At 37.7% G+C, this 22227-nt stretch overlaps 1 protein-coding gene across 6 annotated transcripts in view; it reads left to right on the forward strand.

Moving 5' to 3' along the window:
* BMPR1B (bone morphogenetic protein receptor type 1B) overlaps nt 1-22227 on the forward strand; it is a 400496-nt gene that overhangs the window by 101473 nt on the left and 276796 nt on the right. For 5 of the 6 annotated variants that reach the window (XM_017008559.2, XM_047416093.1, XM_047416091.1 and 2 more), the window contains exon 2: nt 16404-16473. The gene's annotated coding sequence lies outside the window, so the exon portion shown is untranslated. Of the gene's footprint in view, nt 1-746; nt 904-16403; nt 16474-22227 lie in introns of those variants that run through there. The other variant, XM_017008558.2, reaches the window with a different exon arrangement.

The following is a 22227-nucleotide window of genomic DNA, read 5'->3' on the forward strand; positions in this document are numbered from 1 at the left end:
TGGAGTCAAGAAACCAGTTTTATTTTGTTTACTATAGTGTGTATAAGGGGAATATAGTATTCCCCCAATCCCCACATTAATTTACTAGTTAAGACATTATTTCAGAAGATCTTGTGCATATGTATTTTTAGAATAAAGATAGAAAGCACTGGAATCCTTATATGGTCAACTCCTGCATTTTTGATTTGTTGAAGACTTTGATCAGTGTAGGGTGGCAGTTTTGTGGCCAGATCTTAAACCAGGTAGCATAAAGATGATGAATCTTAAAATACTCTGTGACAAGACTTAAAAAAAAAGAGTTACTATGCAGTGATAATGAAGTATTTAATATTTGAGAAATCCATGAAAATAGCAAAATATTTTTGTAATATTTTGGCTCAGACTGTGAGGAGATTACTTAATTGCATATAAATTACTAAAGGGTGGCATGGTTAAAATTTCAAAAGTAAAATATTTACATTTTATCCAGTTAAAAAAAATCTTCCTTTTCCTGGGTCTCCAGGAGCCCAGTTAATGATTTGCATTGTGATCAGCATCGTTTTGCAGATTTTCATCAGTGACTTATTAAAACTTGTCCATTTGATTAGAAATTCTCCTTCCTCAGTGAAACTGTCCTACTGGAGTAAGAGAAGCAGAATTTTCTGCCCCCATTCTCTCTTCACAGATTATTCCTTAACGCGTCCCTAAACTGGGTGGAATTACTACAGATGATGTGAGGGATTGTAAGTTGAAAGAATTTAACAAATTAATGATACTGTTATTTTATTTTATATAGAGATTCTTTCACTAATGGGAAAACCTTTGGTCCTCCTTTAGGTAGGTCTGAAAATTGGATGATATATGCTACAAACTTGAAGAGCAAAAACCGAGTATTTAGAAGCACTTAGAGATCCAGCAACATCAGTAAGATGTTGAGTAAATACTGTTTTCAAAATAGTCATCAGATGTTACAGAATCATGTATACGTAATCTTACAGAAGACATTTCTTGATGATAAGGATTGCTTCTTACTGAATTTTTTATTCCTACATCTGGAAAAGCAGTTTTTATGTAATAAGGTTGCTTAAATATCCATCAAGAAAATTTTTAAAAACTGAGGCTGAAGGATTCAATTTATGGACTTTGATTGAACCTGTTTGTAACTATTGGTCTCTATAGCCAGGCATATTCTGTTTTTTAAGATTGTCTATTTATAAATATTAAACTTTTATTTTTTAGTTTTTGTAGGAGTTTGCTTCCCCTGTCAATAAGCATTGAGATTGTAGTATAGTGAATACTGTTTTATAATGTTAAAACCTGTTTTGGAGCTTGGCAGAGCTGAGTCTTCTTATGTAGACATTTCTGGTGCCAGTGCATCCTACAAGAGGTTCTTGGACAAAACCTTTTATATGTCTTTTATATGTTGGCTTTTATATGTCTTTCTCTTTCACGAGATCCCATCCCATTCCATTTTCTTTCATTTTATTCTGTATTCCTTCATATATGTGTATATCTCTTTTGCCTGGGTCTTGAGAGTTATAGTCTTGAGGTAGTATAGTGCTGTGATTAAGATAAAAGTTGGCTTTTATATGTCTTTCTCTTTCACGAGATCCCATCCCATTCCATTTTCTTTCATTTTATTCTGTATTCCTTCATATATGTGTCTATCTCTTTTGCCTGGGTCTTGAGAGTTATAGTCTTGAGGTAGTATAGTGCTGTGATTAAGATAAAGGATGCTGCTGCTAAGGTGGCTTCAAATCCCAGTCCTGCTGCTTGCTAGCTGGGTGACTGAGGGTAAGTTATTTAATCCCTCTGTGTCTCAGTTTTCTGATGTGCAAAATTGGGGTGATAATATCACTTGCTTACCTCTCACAGGTGTTATGAGGATTAAATTGATAATACATGTAAAGTACTTAGGACAACGTGTGGTGCATATCTACATTCATTGTCAAGTATTTGAAGGCTGATTAGAATTTGCTATTACTGGTTTCATCAGAGAGTATTTTCTGACTCAGTATGATGTTTGTATTTGGCCAAGAATGGAGTCTTCCTTTGGTGTATTCCATCCATCCTCTGCAAGATTCTAGAATACCTGTGCTCAGACCCTGTGCTCAGCTACCTAAATACTATTAGTGAAGATCCAGGTCAAGCCTCCTATGTTATCTTTCTCTTATAGTGAGAGCAAAGACATGGTCCCTGAACACACAAAACATATACATATATGACCAAACTAGATTGCAAACTTCTTGAGGTTAGAGAAATTAGGCTTTATGATATTTTTTATCATAGAACTGAGAAAAAAGAGATTACCCAATAAACACATGGTGATTTTAAAATTATGGTTATAGCTAATCCATTTTCCAAAAGAGAAATTTAGAAATGATGATATAGGTCAGAGTAGATTGATGGTATTTTCAGTTTCAGTTGTGCATTTAGTTAATAGAATGGAAGTAATCAGAGGTTGTTTTACATTGTGTATTCTCTGAACTTTGTTTGAATGAAATATTACCATCCCAAGTCTGAGTTTTATTCAGGTGGTGAATAATTTGTATTTACTGCTTATTTGACTTTAGTTGTAAGGAAACTATAGATTTCAGTAGAAATAATAATAGTAGCAGCTAACAGTACATAGTGCTTACTATATGCCACACAGTACCTGTCAACCAACACCTAATCTTGACTTTGAAAAGCCTTTAAAAAAAAAAAAGACACAATGACTTGGGAGATTCCAAATTATTACTGTTTTTTTTTGTTGTTTTTTTGAGATGGAGTCTTGCTGTGTCACCCAGGCTGGAGTACAGTGGCACGGTCTTGGCTCACTGCAGTCGCATCTCCCAGGTTAAAGCGATTCTCCTGCCTCAGCCTCCTGAGTAGCTGGCACTACAGGCATGCGCCACCATGCCCGGCTAATTTTTTGTATTTTTAGCAGAGGCGGGGTTTCACCATGTTGGCCAGGCTAGTCTCGAACTCCTGACCTCAGGTGAGCCACCTGCTTCCACCTCCCAAAGTGCTGGGATTACAGGCATGAGCCACTGCACCCAGCCCCAAATTTAAGTATAAATTTTGGAAACATATTTCTTAATGAAAAATTTTCAGTTTAAAAGGTTTGTGTTTAGGCCAGGCATGGTGGCTCATGCCTGTAATCCTAGCACTTTGGGAGGCCAGAGGAGGTGGATCACCTGAGGTCAGGAGTTCGAGACCAGCCTGGTCAACATGATAAAACACCGTCTCCAATAAAAATATAAGAAAATTAGCTGGGCCGGGCGTGGTGGCTCATGCCTGTAATCCCAGCACTTTGGCAGGCCGAGACGGGTGGATCATGAGGTCAGGAGATCGAGACCATCCTGGCTAACACGGTGAAACCCCGTCTCTACTAAAAATACAAAAAATTAGCCGGGCGTGGTTGCGGGCACCTGTAGTCCCAGCTACTCAGGAGGCTGAGGCAGGAGAATGGCGTCAACCCGGGAGGTGGAGCTTGCAGTGAGCCGAGATCGCGCCTCTGCACTCCAGCCTGGGGGACAGAGCGAGACTCCGTCTCAAAAAAAAAAAAAAAAAAAAAAATTTAGCTGGGCATGGTGGTGGGCGCCTGTAATCCCAGGTACTTGAGAGGCTGAGGCGGAAGAATCGCTTGACCTGGAGGCAGAGGTTGCAGTGAGCCGAGATCGCGCCACTGCACTCCAGCCTGGGCAACAAGAGTGAGACTCGTCTCAAAAAAAAGGTTTGTGTTTAATTGAATGCTCATGGACATAAGGAAGGGAACAAGAGACACCGGGGCCTACTTGATGGTGGAGGGCAGGAGGAGTGTGAGGGTCAAAAAACTACCTATGCTTATTACCTGGGTGATGAAATAAAACGTACACCAAACCCTACGACACACAATTTATCTATAGAACAAACCTGCACGTGTACCCCTGAAACTAAAATAAAAGTTAAAAGGAAGTTTGTGTGTAATAGAAATAGTGCTTCTGGCCATTTCACCAGCCTGGAAATGGTTCTTGAGTATATCAGTCGAGGGTAGTCACCACCAGAGGTAAAGTGGGACAGTGAACACTGCTCTTGCCAACAGAGTGGTGAATAACAGTGCTAGCATTTTCTTTTCTTCCAGGCTGTTCAAAGTGAAAGGTGAAGAAAATAGCCCTCTGTATTTAGTTTGCAGTTGCTATTTGGTTTCTAATTTAGGTTGTGTATTTTCCTCTAATGTTTCATTTTGACATAATATATTTTAAAATGGACTTTTCTTGTGGACACAATTTTATGATATGATTTTTCTTAAGTTCTAGGCGGCAATGTGGCTGCGTTTTATTTACTTGAATCGTATGTGATGGGAACCAGACTCAAACTTATTTCAGAAATAGTGTTAATTATACAAATGAAAGAGGCAGATATCTTTTGGTTCATCTACACATTTCAGAGTTGCTCCTGTGGTGCATTCCCGAAACCGTATCTGAATAAGCACAACATCTTCTAATGCCAGTAGATATTTTATACTTGCCTGTTGGAAGTTACAGTTCATTAAATGACTACACAATAATGTGTGATTGTCAGAACAGCATTCAGTACACAGGTAGCTAGTATCTGGTAATGGGGTTAAAAGTAATGGAAGATTCCAATAGACATGATGAATTTTAAATTGTTCCTTTATTATACATTTTAGCTGATGTACTATTATTTATAAAACAAAAGAAAACAAAAAGTGGTCTATTAGGTTATGTCTCCAGATAGCAGAGTTTTGAGTGGGAAAAATCAAGGGATATATACGGTAAAGAAACAGTGGTCTCTGGCTTGAGCTTCGACCAGTATAATTACTGGGATTCAGTCTTCAGAAGACCCTTCGTCTGTGCCAGAACCCCAGAATGGATTTTAACCTGTCCCGTTTCAGATTGTCTTCATGGTGGGTGGGAGATAATGGTAGCAGGAGAGAGATGTCAGCATAAAGATTAGGATTAAAAAAACGCCAAGCTCCAATTACTAAAAAGTTGACATCAAGATAGTATTTAGAAGATTCTTTAAGGAGGGAAAGGCGGAGGTGTAGAACAAGGAAGGATTGGGAAGTCATTTTGGATATTAGAGTGACCTGAATTCCATATGAAGGAAATGTTTGTTAGCTGCTGTTTCTAAGCTGTATAGTTCTGTATTTTTTAATGAATAGATCTTTTGATAAGGGCCAAGTACTTATTAAAAAACAAATTGTATGTAAGTTGATAATTTCTTAGAATTTCTTGTCTGTAGATTAGGGATTCAACTTGGTGATATGAGGTCATTGCAGTTGAAAAAGAGGCACAAGCTTAAGGTAAAAACTTTTAATACCCAATACAACGTAAATGTTATGTAAATAGTTATACTATATTGCTTAGGGAATAATGACAAGGAAAAAAAGTCTGTACATGTTCAGCGCAGACACAGCCATTCCTTTAAAAAAAATTTTCAATCTGTTGTTGGTAAAACCCATAGTTACAGAGGGCTAACAGTATGTATTTTTGCATTACACATGAAAAAACATTTTAATAGTTTAGTGGTTAAATGGAGGTTTGCTTTATAATTTAGAAATGATACACCTGAATGCAATGATATATAGATTTTTAATAATCTTCAAGTTTTTCTTTCTTTCTTTTTTTTTTTCTGAGATGGAGTCTCACTCTGTCACCCAGGCTGAAGTGCCATGGTGTGATCTCGGCTCACTGCAACCTCCACCTCCTGGGTTCAAGCAATTCTCCTGCCTCAGCCTCCCGAGTAGCTGGGACTACAGGCATGTGCCACCGTGCCTGACTAATTTTGTATTTTCAGTAGAGATGGAGTTACACTGTGTTGGCCAGGCTGGTCTCGAACTGCCAACCTTGCGGTCTGCCCACTTTGGCCTCCCAAATAATCTTCAAGTTTTATGGATATATTTTAGGTTAATTCAGAAAAAATAAATGTATACTTTAATCTATTAAATATAAGAATATAGAACATAGTTCTAAACACAAACCTGTTCATGCTGGGTTTTTTTTTTTAATTTTTTTGAGACGGAGTCTCGCTCTGTCACCCGGGCTGGAGTACAGTGGTTCCATATCAGCTCACTGCAACCTCCACCTCCCAGGTTCAAGCAATTGTCCTGCCTCAGCCTCCCGAGTAGCTGGAATTACAGGCGCTCGCCGCCACCCCTGGCTAATTTTTTTTAATTTTTAGTAGAGATGGGGTTTCACTATATTGGCCAGGCTGGTCTTGAACTCCTGATCTCGTGATCCACCTGCCTCAGCCTCCCAAAGTGCTGGGATTACAGGCGTGAGCCACTGCTCCCAGCTGCTGTTTTCTACTTTAAAAATCCTTCAATGGTTCCCATTGCCTCTGGGTGAAATCCAACATTTCTAGCAACGAATCCTCATTTTCAGTTTTTATTTGCTAAGAGGAAAGAACAACAACATGCATTACATAACAGACTCATTGAAAAACATTTTTTTTTCGAGATGATGGTGGCATAGGATAGTGGTCTTATCAAATGTGTTAAGTGGATTTTTCTGATTTGTGTCAGGAGTTTTCAGATGCATACCATAATTTTAGAGTATACTACTTACTGAGTACCCCCCAAGACAAACAAACAAGTACATGTCATAAAGTCTATGCTTATGCCTAAACCTTTGGCATAGAGGGGAATGCATGGATTGTTTGACAACTTTGTGTATTGGTGACACTATAAATTCATAGTCCCTAGCTTTCTAGGTGCTGATTGTTGCTGAGTAAAAATTCTGTTTATCCCATATGTTATCTTTCTCATTCCTACTTAGGAGTTATGTCACCATCCATCTTCTCAAGCTCTCTCCATCAATATATTCCAATCCTTTTTCAGAGGATTAACATTTCTCTTCTCTGACCAAGGAAATAGAGGTCATCGGAGACATGCACCAGTTTCTGCCTTGTGTCAACATCCACTTGTATTTCCATATATTGATACTGCCTTTCTTCCTTTCACAGTGTAAGGATCTTCCCCCCTCCACCCTGAAACAAGACTCTTTTCCAGTCATATTATCTGTCTTCTCTCTTTCTTCTCTTTTTCATCCCTGCTAAACTCCTCCTTTAGCATCTCTTTTCCCGTCCAAAATCCTTCCCTGGTCTAGTGTCAGCCTCTACCTGCTGCTGTAACTCCCTTTGGAAAAAGGCTGTCTGTGTTCCTTACCACCAATTCATTGCTTTTTTGTTTTTGTTTGTATGTTTGTTTTTGAGTCGGAGTCTCGCTGTGTCGCCAGGCTGGAGTGCAGTGGCATGATCTCGGCTTACTGCAACCTCCGACTCCCTGGTTCAAGCGATTCTCCTGCTTCAGCCTCCCAAGTAGCTGGATTACAGGCATGCGCCACCATGCCTGGCTAATTTTTGTGTTTTTAGTAGAGATGGGGTTTCACCATGTTGGCCAGGATGGTCTCGATCTCCTCACCTCATGATCCGCCCACTTTGGCCTCCCAAAGTGCTGGGATTACAGGCGTGAGCCACTGTGTCCAGCCTCATTCATTGTTTATTTCACTATAGTCTGTAGCTGGAAATGCTTTCACCAAGTCATTGATGACCAGTGATTTGTCAGATCCATGGACACTTGTTTTAGGCCCTGGCCTATCTCCTGTATCCAGTAGGGCCCCATATTGAGCACACAATAATATTAGTTAAATGAATAACATTTTTCACTTATCTTCTCTTATTTATATGACTTTCCCTTCTCTGGGGTCTTTTACTGGCTCTTACCTGCGTCTTAAACTTTTGTGTTCTAAAGGTTCCAAGAAACCACTGTCTCTCATTCTAGCATGGCTAACCCTTCTCTGGATAGATACCCCATTCTCAAGCATGCCTCCAGAAGATGCATATATAGCAAGTCTTTCACCTTAAGTCTTGACCCTTATTAAAAGGGGTCAACATGTTTGTGTGTTCCATAGACACCTCAAACTCAATATATCCAATTTTACACTCATTTTCAATCTCATCAAGCTTGGTTCTTTCAGTTTATTACCGATAAGAGGCATCTTTCTGAGTGATGTCACCAGATACACAGATGCTTAAACTAGAAATCTAGCAATAGATCATTAATTCTTGTTACATCTACTGTCTTAATTCTGAGTTCTTCTACTCCTCTTTATTCCTCCTACATCTTAGGGCCTCAGTTAATACCATCTCAGTTTTCACCTTGGAATAGCCTTAGTTTAGTTTCCCTGCCTGTCTCTCTAATTTTGATTCTCTCTGTTTTGTGAGCTTTCTTCTCTTTTTCACTTCATTTCACCTAAAGAAAACATTTTAGAGTTTCCCTGGGACGTATGGAACTTTTTACAATTTCTGGAGCAAATTGAAAATACTGGTCTTTGAACCCTTGGGAAAACATAAGTTTTCATAACCTTCAAAATATGATTGACACATTGCCCAGTAAATGTTTATTCTTGTGTAATTACTGCATTAAGATTAGTTTTAGTTGCATATTAAGATCACCGTTTCTTTTTTTTTGGAGACAGAGTCTCACTTCCATCACCCACCCAGGCTGGAATGCAGTGGTGCAGTCACAATTCACTCAGCCCCCTGGGCCCCAGGTGATTCTCCTGCCTCAGCCTCCCAAGTACATGGGACTATAGGCATGTGCCACCGTGCCTGTGCCCCGCTAATTTTTTTTTTTTTTTTGTATTTTCAGTAGAGATGGGGTTTCACCATGTTGCCCAGTCTAATCTAGAAGTTTTGGGCTCAAGCAGTTCTCTTGCCTCAGCCTCCCAAAGTGCTGGGATTACAGGTGCGAGCCACCATACCCAGCCTTACTTCTTCTTTTTTTTTCTTTTGAGACGGGGTCTCACTCAGTCACCCAGACAGGAGTGCAGTGGGGTGATCTTAGTTCACCTCTACCTCTGCCTCCCAGGCTCAAGTGATTCTCCTGCCTCAGCCTCCCAGGTAGCTGAGATTACAGGTGTGCACCACTACCACCCAGCTAATTTTTGTATTTTTTTAGTAGAGACGGGATTTCACCATATTGACAGGCTGGTCTTGAACTCCTGACCTCAAATGGTCCACCCACCTCGGCCTCCCAAAGTGCTGAGATTACAGACATGAACCTGTTACAGAGGTATTACGTGTCTGAATGCCTTACTTTTTTATTCAGCAAAAAAGGGGGCTCCCCACTGTCATTGGAGCTGAGTGTGGGGAGACCAAATGAAATCCTGTTTCCTTGGAAGGGACCAATAAGTGTCCTTTGTTTCCAGTGTTGAACGATGAGCAGGTTTGGACAGTTGGATCTGAGGGAAGGGCCATCCCAGGCAAAGGGAAGGCAAATGCCAGTGCTTGAGGCTGTGAACAACAGAGTGAAAATATTCCTAGATCATGAAAATAAGTGTTTGAATTTAGCATAATGCATTTGACTTATTATTAATCAAAGGTGTTGCACAGGATGAGTATTTGTGTTTACCTAGTCACTTTAAAACATATATTTCACCTCAAGTATTCCCAGTTTGGTAGACTACAGCATGAAGGCTTGAATGTTGTAGCTTAATTTCTTCTGTAACTGCTAGTTTCTTCTATGGCACTGCTTATTTGCATGGTAGTGTGTGTCTCCATAGAGTCCTCATTCAACAGTTAAATGTTAGAGTGCTCTGAGGACAGGGCTTAAACAGTCAAAAACTATTTCTTAAATTTCTCTAGAACCTCTTTTTTAAAATTAAACTCCATGATTTGTTTGAATTAAATTTTACTATCAAACACACACACACACACACACACACACACACACACACACACACACACACTTTGCTTTAAAGGAAGAATAATAATTTGTATTTGTCAGATAATTTCTGATTTTTGTTTTACTCTTTCTGAAATGTCAAAGACAAAACTTCCGTGAGGTTTTTAGAATCTAGAATCATCATTCATATATTGTATGAAAACAATTTTACACTTTACACTTCTTTTTCTTTAAACCTTTTTCCGTTATTTTACTAAGCACCAGAAGAAAGTCAGATATTTCCTGTGATGCTAAAATTTCTTCCAGATCACATGCTGAAATACCTTTTTTCTTTGAGGGTTCTCTTAAATGATCAAATGTAGTCTCTTAAGTGTATATGGCCAGCTCTTTCATCTGAGCTACTTTGTCTAAATGTTTATGCTATTCAGATAACATGTATCTTCAATATTCAGCTTTGCATATGGGCTATACTTCATCCCAATAGTATTCCTTTTTCTTCTTTTAGGTTTGACTGAATTAGAGGTATGTTCCATCCATGTTAAATGGGTTCAAAAGGCCTACTTGAATTTGAAATACTCCTGTTCATTATAAAATAAAATGTGACTGTGTTTCTAAGTATGCATAGTTTTTATAATCTGTAACATTTTAATTTGTTATTTTTCCTGAGATCATGTAAGCATTTCTTTTAAAAATTTAGTTTTTATAAAATGGCTCATGTTTTATGTAAGTTTGGCCCTTATTTTTTCTAAAGATGCAAAGCTTAATGGTTGTAAGGAATAGAGGCACCACTTTCCCCCTTGAGGCCTGGTCAATATTTGAATACTTGTGCACAGCATAACAAGTATCTTTTAGACTGAATACATTAATAGTAGTACTTTCAAGGGATGTTTAGCAAACTTTATGGGCAATAGGGTTGAAAATCTGTGTAGTCAGTAGATTTACAAAGTTATATTAGAGAAGAAGTTGCAAAGAAAGGTTTTAAGGAAAATTTATCTTTATGTTCTAAATGGCCTTTTAAAATTCTATTTTTATAAACTCTGATCAGTCTTAACTAAATTTTGCGTTTAAACTTTTGGATAAAAGTCATGTTACAGGGGTTCTTGCAATGTGAACTTCATGCCGTATTTGGGCTTGTTTTTATGATTTTCTTGCACTAAACTTGGAATGCACTCTTGAAGAATAGGTTTTTGGCTCTCAAGGACCTTCGTAGTCATACACTAGCTCTTAATCACTGTGTCTGTGGAGTGTCTTGCTGGTTGGAGCTCTCAGTGGATTGACTTCCCTTTCTCTCTACTTCCTGCCAAGAGAGAGAGAGAGTTTTACCACTTGTGGTAGAGAACATCTTTACTTGGTTATGCTATTTGCCATGTGATGGTTATGGAGTTTCTGCTATAAAAGAAACTGTCAGCTCTAAGTTATCAGTGCAAGTTTTGGATTAATAGCATCTTTAGCTTTTATTTCCCTCAGTCCTCTTGCTCATTTCATTATGCCTTAGAGAATGGAGAATTGGGAATAATAATAAATGATTTAGTGTTCTACTGTTTAATTTGACTTTTCTTGAGTATGTTAGACTTAACCTGAAAGTTTTGGTTGTGATGGGTTTACATTCTCTGTGGGTTTGGTAGTCTTCAGCAAAAATTAGCCTCTATTAGCACAATGAATTGATAATTGCCCAGCATTTCATCTTGCGTTGGATTCTGACTTCACTCTGGAAGCAAAGATGTTACAAAGAAGGGTACCCTGCCTCAGAGTTTGGAGTTTCCCACATTAACGTTGGAAGGTGTCTTTTGGTAGGCTCTTAAACAATTATGGAACTGTGGAAATAGCCTTAGGTGAGGAGCTGAACATCCCAAGTTCTCAAGTGCACTCTGTTTATTGAATTACAGACACTTATCTGTAAATGATGATGATTTTTTTGGCGGGGGGGCGGGGTAAGAGGTACTTTGTTAAATGCTTTGTGTGCATTATGTTATTTAATTCATGTAGTAAATTGGAGGCAGGCATTATCCCAATTTTACAGATGAGAAAACCAGGGGTTAGAGAAGTTAAGCAGCTTGCCCGATGTCACACAGCCAGTAAACATAAAGCTAGAATTCATACCCAAGGACTGCCTGACTCCAAGACCTGTTTCTTTGCTGCTCTGCATTCTGCTATATGTAAAGTACCGTGTGCTTATTATGAGGATTAAATAAGCTAATGCGTACATCCTTTGTAAAGTAAGATATTAGTCTTGGTATGGTAAAAATATGGACATGTTTGGAACATGGAACTGTTACTAATCTTTTCTGCTATTTTAAGGCTTCACATGCATTTCATAATTTTATATATAAGTATTTTACACCTTCAAGATTGTTAATATGTTGTGAATGTCATGTTTCTTGATTTATGAAGTACTCATGTTATTCTTTAAAAACCCTTTCTAAGAAGGAAGGAAATCTATATCCCCTCCCCCCACATATTCCATGGATTTTTGTTTTGAAAAGAAAAAACTTAATTTTACATCAGAATCTTTAGAATTTTTTGGACTCTAGAATTTAATAATTAGTTATATTGTTCACTTACAGTTTCATACTAGAGAATAAGATCTTCAATATTCCATTATTTTAAAAGATAATACAAGGTAAACACATACAGAAAAGGTTTGATTGCTCCAGTAAGGATACTGAATAGTCAAACAATTTTCAACAACTTAGTTTACTACCTATATATACAAGCTATTTTGAGTGTTGATGCATTACTGAAATACTTTAAGGCCTTCCTTAGTTTGTATGCATTGCTGAAATACCCCAAGGTTTGATTCTAGAATGCTCGAAAAATTTTAAATTGCAAAAGGAAAACAAATGAATGCTTACTCATGTTGTAACACTTTTCTGTAATTTACCTCAATTTCTAAGGTCGTACCTTTTATTCAGGTTAGGAATAGGTTTTAAGTACTCTTGATTCCAAGTAATTTGTTTAATTGTCTTAATGCTATCTTTATAATCATTTTAAGCTGTGGTGCTCTTGTGAGCGAGTGCCCAGGAGCTGGAAAATTGACATCCAGGCAGTGAGGTCTGCTTTCTCTTACCGGCACCCTGGCATTCTCTGTGACCTCACAAGGCACTTTTAAAATCTTTTAGCTTCTATAGCTTTGAAGGCAAAGCCCTAGAGTATGGCTTGGAAATTCAGAAAAAAATGATAATTTAAATAAAGATAAATGTAAATATTTGTAGACAAAGCTTTCAAGTGCAAACTGGTTTTAAATACCCTCTAAACATATAAAAATATTTTCAAAGTCACTTTTTAAACCCAGAAGCAATAGAGTATAAAAGCCCCTATCAATAGCACGTTTAGTGATGATTGCAAGTATTTGTTTGAAATATAAATTTTGAAATTCTAACTTTTGATTAAAGTAGAAGTATGAATTTTTAAACCTTTTCAGATGAGAAATTAGAAATTTTGTCTTCATATTTTATAAGAATTGATGAATCTGCTGGGTTTTTGTGATATTTAAGATTTTTCTTTTATTATCAAAGAAAAATGCTGGATGCCAGTGGAGCATGCCTGTAGTCCCAGCTACTTTGGAGGCTGAGGTGGGAGGATCGCTTGAGCCTGTGCCACTGCACGCCAGCCTGGGTGACTGAGCTAGTCCCTGTCTCAAAAATAAACAATAACCAATTTCAAGTGTTTAATATATCCCCATGTAAATATTCAGCAGTAAAAGATGATTATGTTTTGCAATTACTTACATAATGCTTTCTGTGAGTATAAAACTGAACTTTAGATGTGAAAGTTGTACGAGGCAGTTTCTGCACCTAAGAAGTTTTAGAGTGAAGAGATTTCAGTTTGATACAATTTAAAGGTAATGTAATCATACTGGGTTTGAAGGTTTTCTAGGATATGTCTTTATGGGAAACCCAACTGATTCAGCTGCCTGTAGGGCCCCCAAGTACAACTTCACATTTACCTGATGTGCTGTACTATATCTAGAAATAATCTATATGATTTTTTTTTTTGGCCATAAGCCAGACTTCCTGGGTCAGCATTGAGCAAAACTTGTAACAGGTGTCTGACTACTTCCTCTCACCTCCGGTCCATATGGCCAGAGCTTTACTTGTTCTGTCACTTCGGATACTCTCCCTTAAGTACTGACCACCTTACTGAATGACCCTCAATTTGCCTTTCTAGTTTTATTTGAGTTACTCTTCTATTAGGTGGTTGTTTACCTGAATTTTTGCTTTTTTTCCTTCATCGTTTGGAGATGACTTTTTGCAGATCGAATCTTGTACCCGGATTTCCCATCTCTATTTCTGCTTTGACAAATCTTACCCATACTTCAAGGCTATGAATTCTTTTTTTTTTTTTTTGAGACAGAGTTTCGCTCTGTCACCAGGCTGGAATGCAGTGGCGCGATCTCGGCTCACTGCAACTTCTGCCTCCTGGGTTCAAGCGATTCCCCTGCCACAGCCTCCCAAGTAGCTGGGACTACAGGCGTGCGCCACCATGCCCAGCTAATATTTTGTATTTCTTTAGTAGAGATGGGGTTTCACCATGTTGGCCAAGATGGTCTCGATCTCCTGACCTTGTGATCTGCCCACCTCGCCCTCCCAAAGTGCTGGGATTACAGGCGTGAGCTGCCGTGCCCGGCCCGACCATGAATTCTTACTTCTATCTTCCTGTGTGTTATGTGTCTTATTGCGTTTAAAAAAATTAATGTAAAATACATGTAACATAAAATTTACTATCTTAACCATTTTTAAGTGCAGTTCAGCTGTGTTAAGTATATTCACGTTATTGTGCAACAGATTTCCAGAACTTTTTCATCTTGGAGACCTGAAACTCTGGATTAAGCCACAAGCCCCATTTTCTTTTCTTCACGTCCCTGGCAGCCACCATTCTACCTTCTTTCTGTTTGTTTGAGCTTGAGTACTTTAGATACCTCATGTAAGTTGAATCATACAGTGTTTGTCTTGTAGTGACTGGCTTATTTTACTTAGCATGATGTCTTCAAGGTTCATCCATCTTGTAGCATGTGACAGGATTTCCTTCTTAAGGCTAAATATTTTATATATATATGTGTGTATATATATGTGTATGTGTGTGTATATATATACATACCACATTTTGTTTTATCCATTCATCTTTCAGTGGACATTTGGGTTGTTTTCAGCTTTTGACTATTGTGAATAATACTGCAGTGAACATGGGTGTGCAAATATCTCTTTGAGATTCTGCTTTCAATTCTTTGGATTATATATCCAACAGTGGAATTGCTGGGTCATATAGTAATTCTGTTTTTAGAATGGAAAGTGTTGCTATAGTCTTATTTTTGACCTTAATTTGACTACCACAGCCATACTGCTCTCAGTCTTCTCCTTTAAGCTTGTGTCTCTTTTTGTTTATGTTTTGGAAAATATGGAAATCATGGAGCATATGTAAATATAGAAAAATATATTTTATATCAATTAAAATCTAATTGTGATTTATACATTTTAGTAGAAGAGGGTATTGGTGATGTGAATACTAACAAAAGGCTGTAGAAATCTGATTATCTTTTGCTTTCTATTTTTTAGTAAGTAAACTTGATTAGAAAAATGTTATAGATCAAAGTCAGTTTATATATTTACTCTTAAAATCTGTGGCTATTGGCCGGGTGCGGTGGCTCCTGCCTGTCTGTAATCCCAGGACTTTGGGAGGCCGAGGCGGGTAGATCACTTGAGGTCAGGAGTTCGAGACCAGCCTGACCAATATGGTGAAACGCCGTCTCTACTAAAAATACAAAAAATTAGCCGGGCGTGGTGGCAGACGCCTGTAGTCCCAGCTACTCTGGAGGCTGAGGCAGGAGAATGGCGTGAACCCGGGAGGCAGAGCTTGCAGTGAGCCGAGATCGCGCCACTGTAGTCCAGCCTGGGCAACAGAGCGAGACACCGTCTCAAAAAAAATAATAATAAATAAATCTGTGGCCAGCATTTAAGTATCAAAATCCTTGCACTAAGTAACATCCCCAAACTGTAAGTCTAGTAAGACTTAGTATTTGCTTCTTTTTGGAAAGATACCAGAGAAACATCATATGGTGTCTGTAATTCTATTATATGGAATATTATATTTTCTCTTATTCACAAGCTAGGAGCTCAAACATTAGAACTTTGAGGTGCTATAGTAAAAAGTTAGAACTTTGTTAAAAATTACACCAAAAGTTAGAACTTTGAGGTGTTCTTGATCTCTACTACAGTGCTATAGTGAAAACCTGTAATACTGTTTTAACAGTTTGAACTGGTTCACAATAATCATGGGAAGATGTGCTTTATTTTTAGTACATCTTTTCAATTAATAATAACAAATGAGGCTGGACGTGGTGGCTCACGCTTGTAATCCCAGCACTTTGGGAGGCCGAGGTGGGTGGATCACGAGGTCAGGAGATTGAGACCATCCTGGCTAACACGGTGAAACCCCGTCTCTACTAAAAATACAAAAAATTAGCCATGTGTAGTGGCGGGCACCTGCAGTCCCTGCTACTTGGGAGGCTGAGGCAGGAGAATGGTGTGAACCCGGGAGGCGGAGCTTGCAGTGAGCCAAGATCGCGCCGCTGCACTCCAGCCTGGGCGATGGAGCGAGACTCCATCTCAAAAGAAAAAAACGGAAGAACTGTACTTCCCCTCCCATCCCCCAATTCCATTATGTATTACCATGATTCTGCATTTGAACTGGTAAATAATAATAAACCTTTCTCAAGCCACAAATAGCAATTCAGTTTTTGTCTCTTTGTTGACAGGGTGGAGTTCAGCCTACTCTTTCTTAGATGTGAAAGGAAAGGAAGATCATTTCATGCCTTGTTGATAAAGGTAAGTTCATAGTAATTATTAAATAATTTGAGATGTTTGGTAGGCATCGTTACTGCTTTTTGACACTCCGACTTTGTGGTATGCTGAAGTTAACAGAAAGATAATACATTTTATAAGATGAATGGAATCTACAATTGTTCCTTTAGTTATCAGTAAAAACACATAAGATAAGGAAACTGATGTAAATCAACATGACAAGGTGGATGTGGATTTGTTCTATAATGAGAAAGTAACTTGTGCTTTTCATTTGAAATGTTGGCCTACACACTTAGTCTGTTCCTCAAACATTTACACACTTGGTAATAACCTTTTACCAACCATTGCTGATATCATCACGATAACATGTTTCAGGTTAATAAAAACTAGATTACAACATTATGCCATTTTAAAGCAAATCCATCCATTATACTTTTCATGCTGATAGTTCTAGTTGGTGTCACTCATTTTAGAGGGCAAATGTGAAACAGGTGGCGTGGACTTCAGAGGCCCTACCTCTGACCCACATATATTAGTGAACGTTAACTTGGAGACTCTTTTCTAAGCATTTACTCCTATTATAGCTATTTTTATAGTGTGCTACAGTGTTCAAATGCTATTACGAATGCTTTAAATGAATTCAATTTGTTCTTCACAAGTCTGTGAAAACTGTTCTGTTAATATTCCCATTTTATAGATGTTAAAACTGAAGCATTGGAAAATTAAGAAAATTGCCCAGGATTATGTAGATAGTTAAGTGGTAGAGTGGGAATTACATTGAGACCTCCTGATCTTTACTTCAGTGCTATACTGAAAACCGATAATACTATTTGAACAATTTGAACTGGCTCATAATAATGATGGGAGGATGTGCTTACTTTTGATATATCTTTTCTAATAACACATGAACAAATGTAGGATGAATACATGTTATACTTCTTAATGGGTTTGACTTTACTCCAGTGAACTCTATCAGAAATTTTTTATACTTTAAATCCTTATAAATCTACTCAGTAAAGTTTTCAGAAACTTACTTTTGCATATTTATAAAATATTTCATTGCTTGCTTAAAAATAACCATATTAAAAGATGGTAGCATAATTTTAATTAAGAAAGCAGAAATAATGTACTTTACAAGTATTGGTATTACTCCTTTCGGGGCTATAAATACAATATATATGTTTTTCCCCTGGCTAAGTGTTGTGAGGTTAAATTTTCAGCATAGTAAGTTTCAGTTGGGCCACATATTATGCCACTGTGCATAAAAACTCACATTGATTCAAGTATCAGAATCATAGAATTTTCTTCATGGAGAGAGATGGTTGGGGAGTAAGCCAGAAATAATTGGTCTTGATTTGGGTTGCTGTCTCTTTCCAAAGGTTAGCATCTGAAGTGTGGGGCTGGGCATCAGGAACCTTCCTACCAGGGTGAGGGGTTTGGAAAAGGTTTTGCTCATTTTTGAGTCATGCTTCCAGTTGTTGATGGGATCAGAAATTAACCCCAGAGGAAAGGGGCCTTTTACCAGGAGTTGGGATGGGGTTAGAGAACCAATCAGATGGATTGGCCTTAGGGTTGGCATTTCCTGTTAGTGAACTGAAGTAAATCGGAAAGCAGAGAAAACCACTGCCTGTGCACTAGGCTCTGCAAAGAGAGAACGAGCGGGTGCCTATAGGCACCTTTCTCTAGAAATACATTTTAGGATTAATTTAGATTAATCTAGATCCTACATCCCCTACCCCCAGTAGGAATTATAATGTCTGTTTTTTTGAAGATTTGCCAGAACAGTGGGAATGGCTCAGCAGGTAAATTAAGTTTTTAAACTATAAGAAAGTGAGGCCAAGGAAAGTAGAAACTGAAATGCAAACATATTTTTCCAGAGATATCAACTATCAAATACATTGAGATACATTTTATATATGTATAGAAGTGTAATATTTATTAATAATAGAATAATTAAAACAGTATTTTTATTAGTGAAAATAATCTATGCTTATTAGACAAATTTGGTAGCAAAAGGTAAATTACACCACTTCAATATCAGCACTTTTATATTTCCTGTGTTTGTGTGCATGCACATGTGTGCGTGTGTGTGTGTATATGCATTTACATTGGAATGATATCGCCTATATTGATGAATGGTCTTATAAAAAAAATTTTAATGGCTCTATCATCTTGTATCATCTTATATTTTATTATTTCAGGTTTTATTTCTAGGATATATTCCTGACCGTGGAATAATTAGATCAAGGAATGAGAACATTTTTAAAGGCTCTTTAAGCATATTGCAAAATTGCTTTCAGGAATGCTGTATGACTAATATTTGTTTCAGGAGCATAGAGGGGACTGGTTTCCACTGTTTTAATGTGCTATTTTTTAATTCCTTCTAAGGTTTGTTAAAAACCAAAATTGCAACAAATTTAGTTTAAAGATACTAGGTTTTTATTAGCAATTCATGAATCAGTAGCATCTCATCTAAACATTTAGAAAAGGTGCTCCCATGAGCTGAGCAGAGGACGTTATTTTTATAGGCTGGAAAGGGCTGAAGAAAGCAGAAACAGGAAATGAAAAGTGAATTGGTCATTTCAAAGTAACTTTCCTTATAGAATTAAAACAGAGAGGACTTTCTTGTTACACTGGCCCAGGTAAACTAGGCTCCTCCTCATTGGCTGCTGTGCGTCTCCTAATTTTTTTTCTGAAAACAGGCCCATTTCAAAGTTCAGTTTGATTATGTGGCTCCCAGCCAGATAATAACTGCATTCTGAGTGACTCCATTTTGGTCTTGTCTGGTATATAGGGCCTAGTGCAGAAGCTCAGTCCAAACCAGTGGCCTCCCATACATTTCATTTAACAGGTTCTGCTTTTTTTTTTTTTTTTTTACTTCTGATATGCTTGGTAGGCATTTGTATTTCATCTTCTGTGAGTTCCCAGTTCATGTGTTTTCTAGTTTGTCTATTACAGTTTTAGTTTATTACTAATTTGTGTGACCTCCTTATGTAATTAAGATGATCAGCTCTTTGACTCATTTATATCAAATATTTCTACCATTTATTTACCCTCTATTTTAATGAATTTAATGAAGTATAGCAGTTTCACATTGCATATTCAGGCAGGTTTAATAGATTTTTTATTTTTTTATTATTATACTTTAAGTTTTAGGGTACATGTGCACAATGTGCAGGTTTGTTACATATGTATACATGTGCCATGTTGGTGTGCTGCACCCATTAACTCGTCATTTAGCATTAGGTATATCTCCTATTATAATTTCTTCTCATTTCCAGATGAGTACCATTTCCAGCAAGTAAATGGTAGAGCTGGTATTTGAACTGGTCATATGATTGTAAATCCTATGCTCTTTAGCAGTACCTTATACTTCCTGGTAGAATAGAAAAGAACAAGGGACTCTTAAAATGTTTAAGGTATTAATGAAAAGTGTCAAGTAAAACATTTGGATTTATTTGAGTGTTTACATTTGATTCTTTGGGAGGTCAAGGCAGGAGGATTGCTAGAGCCCACAAGTTTGAAACCAGCCTAGGCAACATGGCTAGACCTGGTGTCTATAAAAAATTTTAAAAAATTAGCCAGGTGTGCTGGGGTGTGCCTGTTGTCCCAGCTACTCCAGGAGGCTGAGGCAGGAGGATCACTTGAGCTCAGAGGTTGAGGCTACAGTGAGCTGTGTTAGCACCACTGTACTCCAGCTTGGATGACAGAGCGAGACCCTGTCTCAGAAATAAATAAAAATAAAAATAAATAAAATACATTTGGTTCTTATTTTTCTCGTATCCAGTGATTTTTCTTTTCCTGTTGTTTCGTCCAGGAGATCTTTAAATTTTTTTCCCCATTATTATAGAATTAGAAGTAGAAAAATATTTTGTTTAATAACTATATCTCATGATATATTTCTGTCATTAAATTGGTGTGCATATGGGCAAGACTATACTACACAGTGAAAAATCAGTTTTTAATACAAAGTTTGATACTTTAAAAGAAAAAAACAATGTATATTGAAAATACTGTGGTTAAACCAACCATATGGATCGTTTGGAATTCCTAGACTAAATTTGAATTTAATTAGTTATAGATTTGTTATTTGTGGTATTCATCCGGTATCTAAGAGAAGTGATTATCGTAACAAAATATTTTTATGGAACATCTTATTATATAAAATGACAATACAAATTATTATTATTTTATTCATAATTTTTGACTTTTTAAAAAACATGCAACATGCTGTTAAGTATATGTGTGTTTCTCATTTACTAAAAAATAGAATTTTCCTAGCAGGATGGCCCTAGAGCTGAAGCATTATATGTCTTTGGTTGGTTCTCATTCAAGAATTGGCAGAGTTTCAGAGTACTGTACTTCTAACTTGTCTCCATAAATTCAAGGCAGAACAGCAAATATGCCCTAAAAACAATGCATTAAAATGATATATTTTTATTTTTACTTTTTATTTTACTTATTTTGAGACAAAGTCTCCCTTTGATGCCAAGGCTGGAGTACAATGGCACGATCATAGCTCACTGCAGCCTCAACCTCCTGGGCAGCAATCCTCCCACCTCAGCCTCCTGAGTAGCAGGGACTACAAGCACACACCACCACCTTGGAGTAATTTTGTTTTGTTTTTCTGTAGAGATGGGATTGTACGGTGTTGCCCAGGCTGGTCTCGAACTTCTCAGCTCAAGCAGTCCTCCTGCCTTGGCCTCCTGAAGTACTGGGATTAGAGGCGTGAATCACTGCGCCTGACCATTAAAATGAATTTTTTTTTTTTTTTTTTTTTGAGACAGAGTTTCACTCTGTCACCCAGGCTGGAGTGCAGTGATGAAATCATGGCTCACTACACCTTCCACCTCCCAGGTTCAAGCGATTCTATGCCTCAGCCTCCCAAGTAGCTGAGATTACAGGCGTGCCACCATGCCCAGCTAATTTTTATATTTTTAGTAGAGACGGGGTTTCACCATTTTAGCCAGACTGGTCTTGAACTTCTGATCTCAAGTGATTGGCCCTCCTTGGCCTCCCAAAGTGCTGAGATTATAGGACTGAGCCACTGGGTCCAGCCCTAAAATATTTTAATCAACTTTTAAAGTCAGAAAATTCTTGTGTGTGGAAAAGATGCAACATCGTAATTCTGAAGTTTTACCTTGCATAATATTGCCATTTTTTATTGTGGCAAAATGTGTATACCATAAAATGGACAATTTTAACCATTTTCAAGTATGTGGTTCTGTGGCATTCAGTATGTTTACATTCTTGTACCATTACCATCATCCATCTCAAGAACATTTTCATCTTCTGCAACTGAAACTGTACCTTCTAACTCTGTTTTCCAGCCCTCAGTCCTTGGCAACCCCCATTATGCTTACTGTCTCTGTGAATTTGGCTGTAACGTTACTATTGTTGAAGGATATAAGACCTCTCCCCCACAAACACATGCGTATTTAGAAGCATGTTTCTTGTTTTGGTTTTGGTGTTTCCTCATGAATAGATTCAGGTCATGTGTCCTCGGCAAGTTACTGCATAGGTGATCTTCAGCAGAAGAATTTGGCAACGAGAGGAGCTGGGTTCAAGTTCTAGGCTGGGGCAAGTGTAATATTTCAACTTTTTTTTTTTTTTGCAATCCACTCTGTCACCCAGGCTGGATTGCAGTGGTGTGATTTCAGCTCACTGCAACCTCCACCTCCCAGGTTCAAGTGATTCTCCTGCCTCAGCCTCCTGAGTAGCTGGGAGTACAGGTGTGCACCACCACACCCAGCTAATTTTTGTATTTTTAGTAGAGAC

This window comes from Homo sapiens, chromosome 4, assembly GCF_000001405.40.
Source record: "Homo sapiens chromosome 4, GRCh38.p14 Primary Assembly".
NCBI lineage: Eukaryota > Metazoa > Chordata > Mammalia > Primates > Hominidae > Homo > Homo sapiens.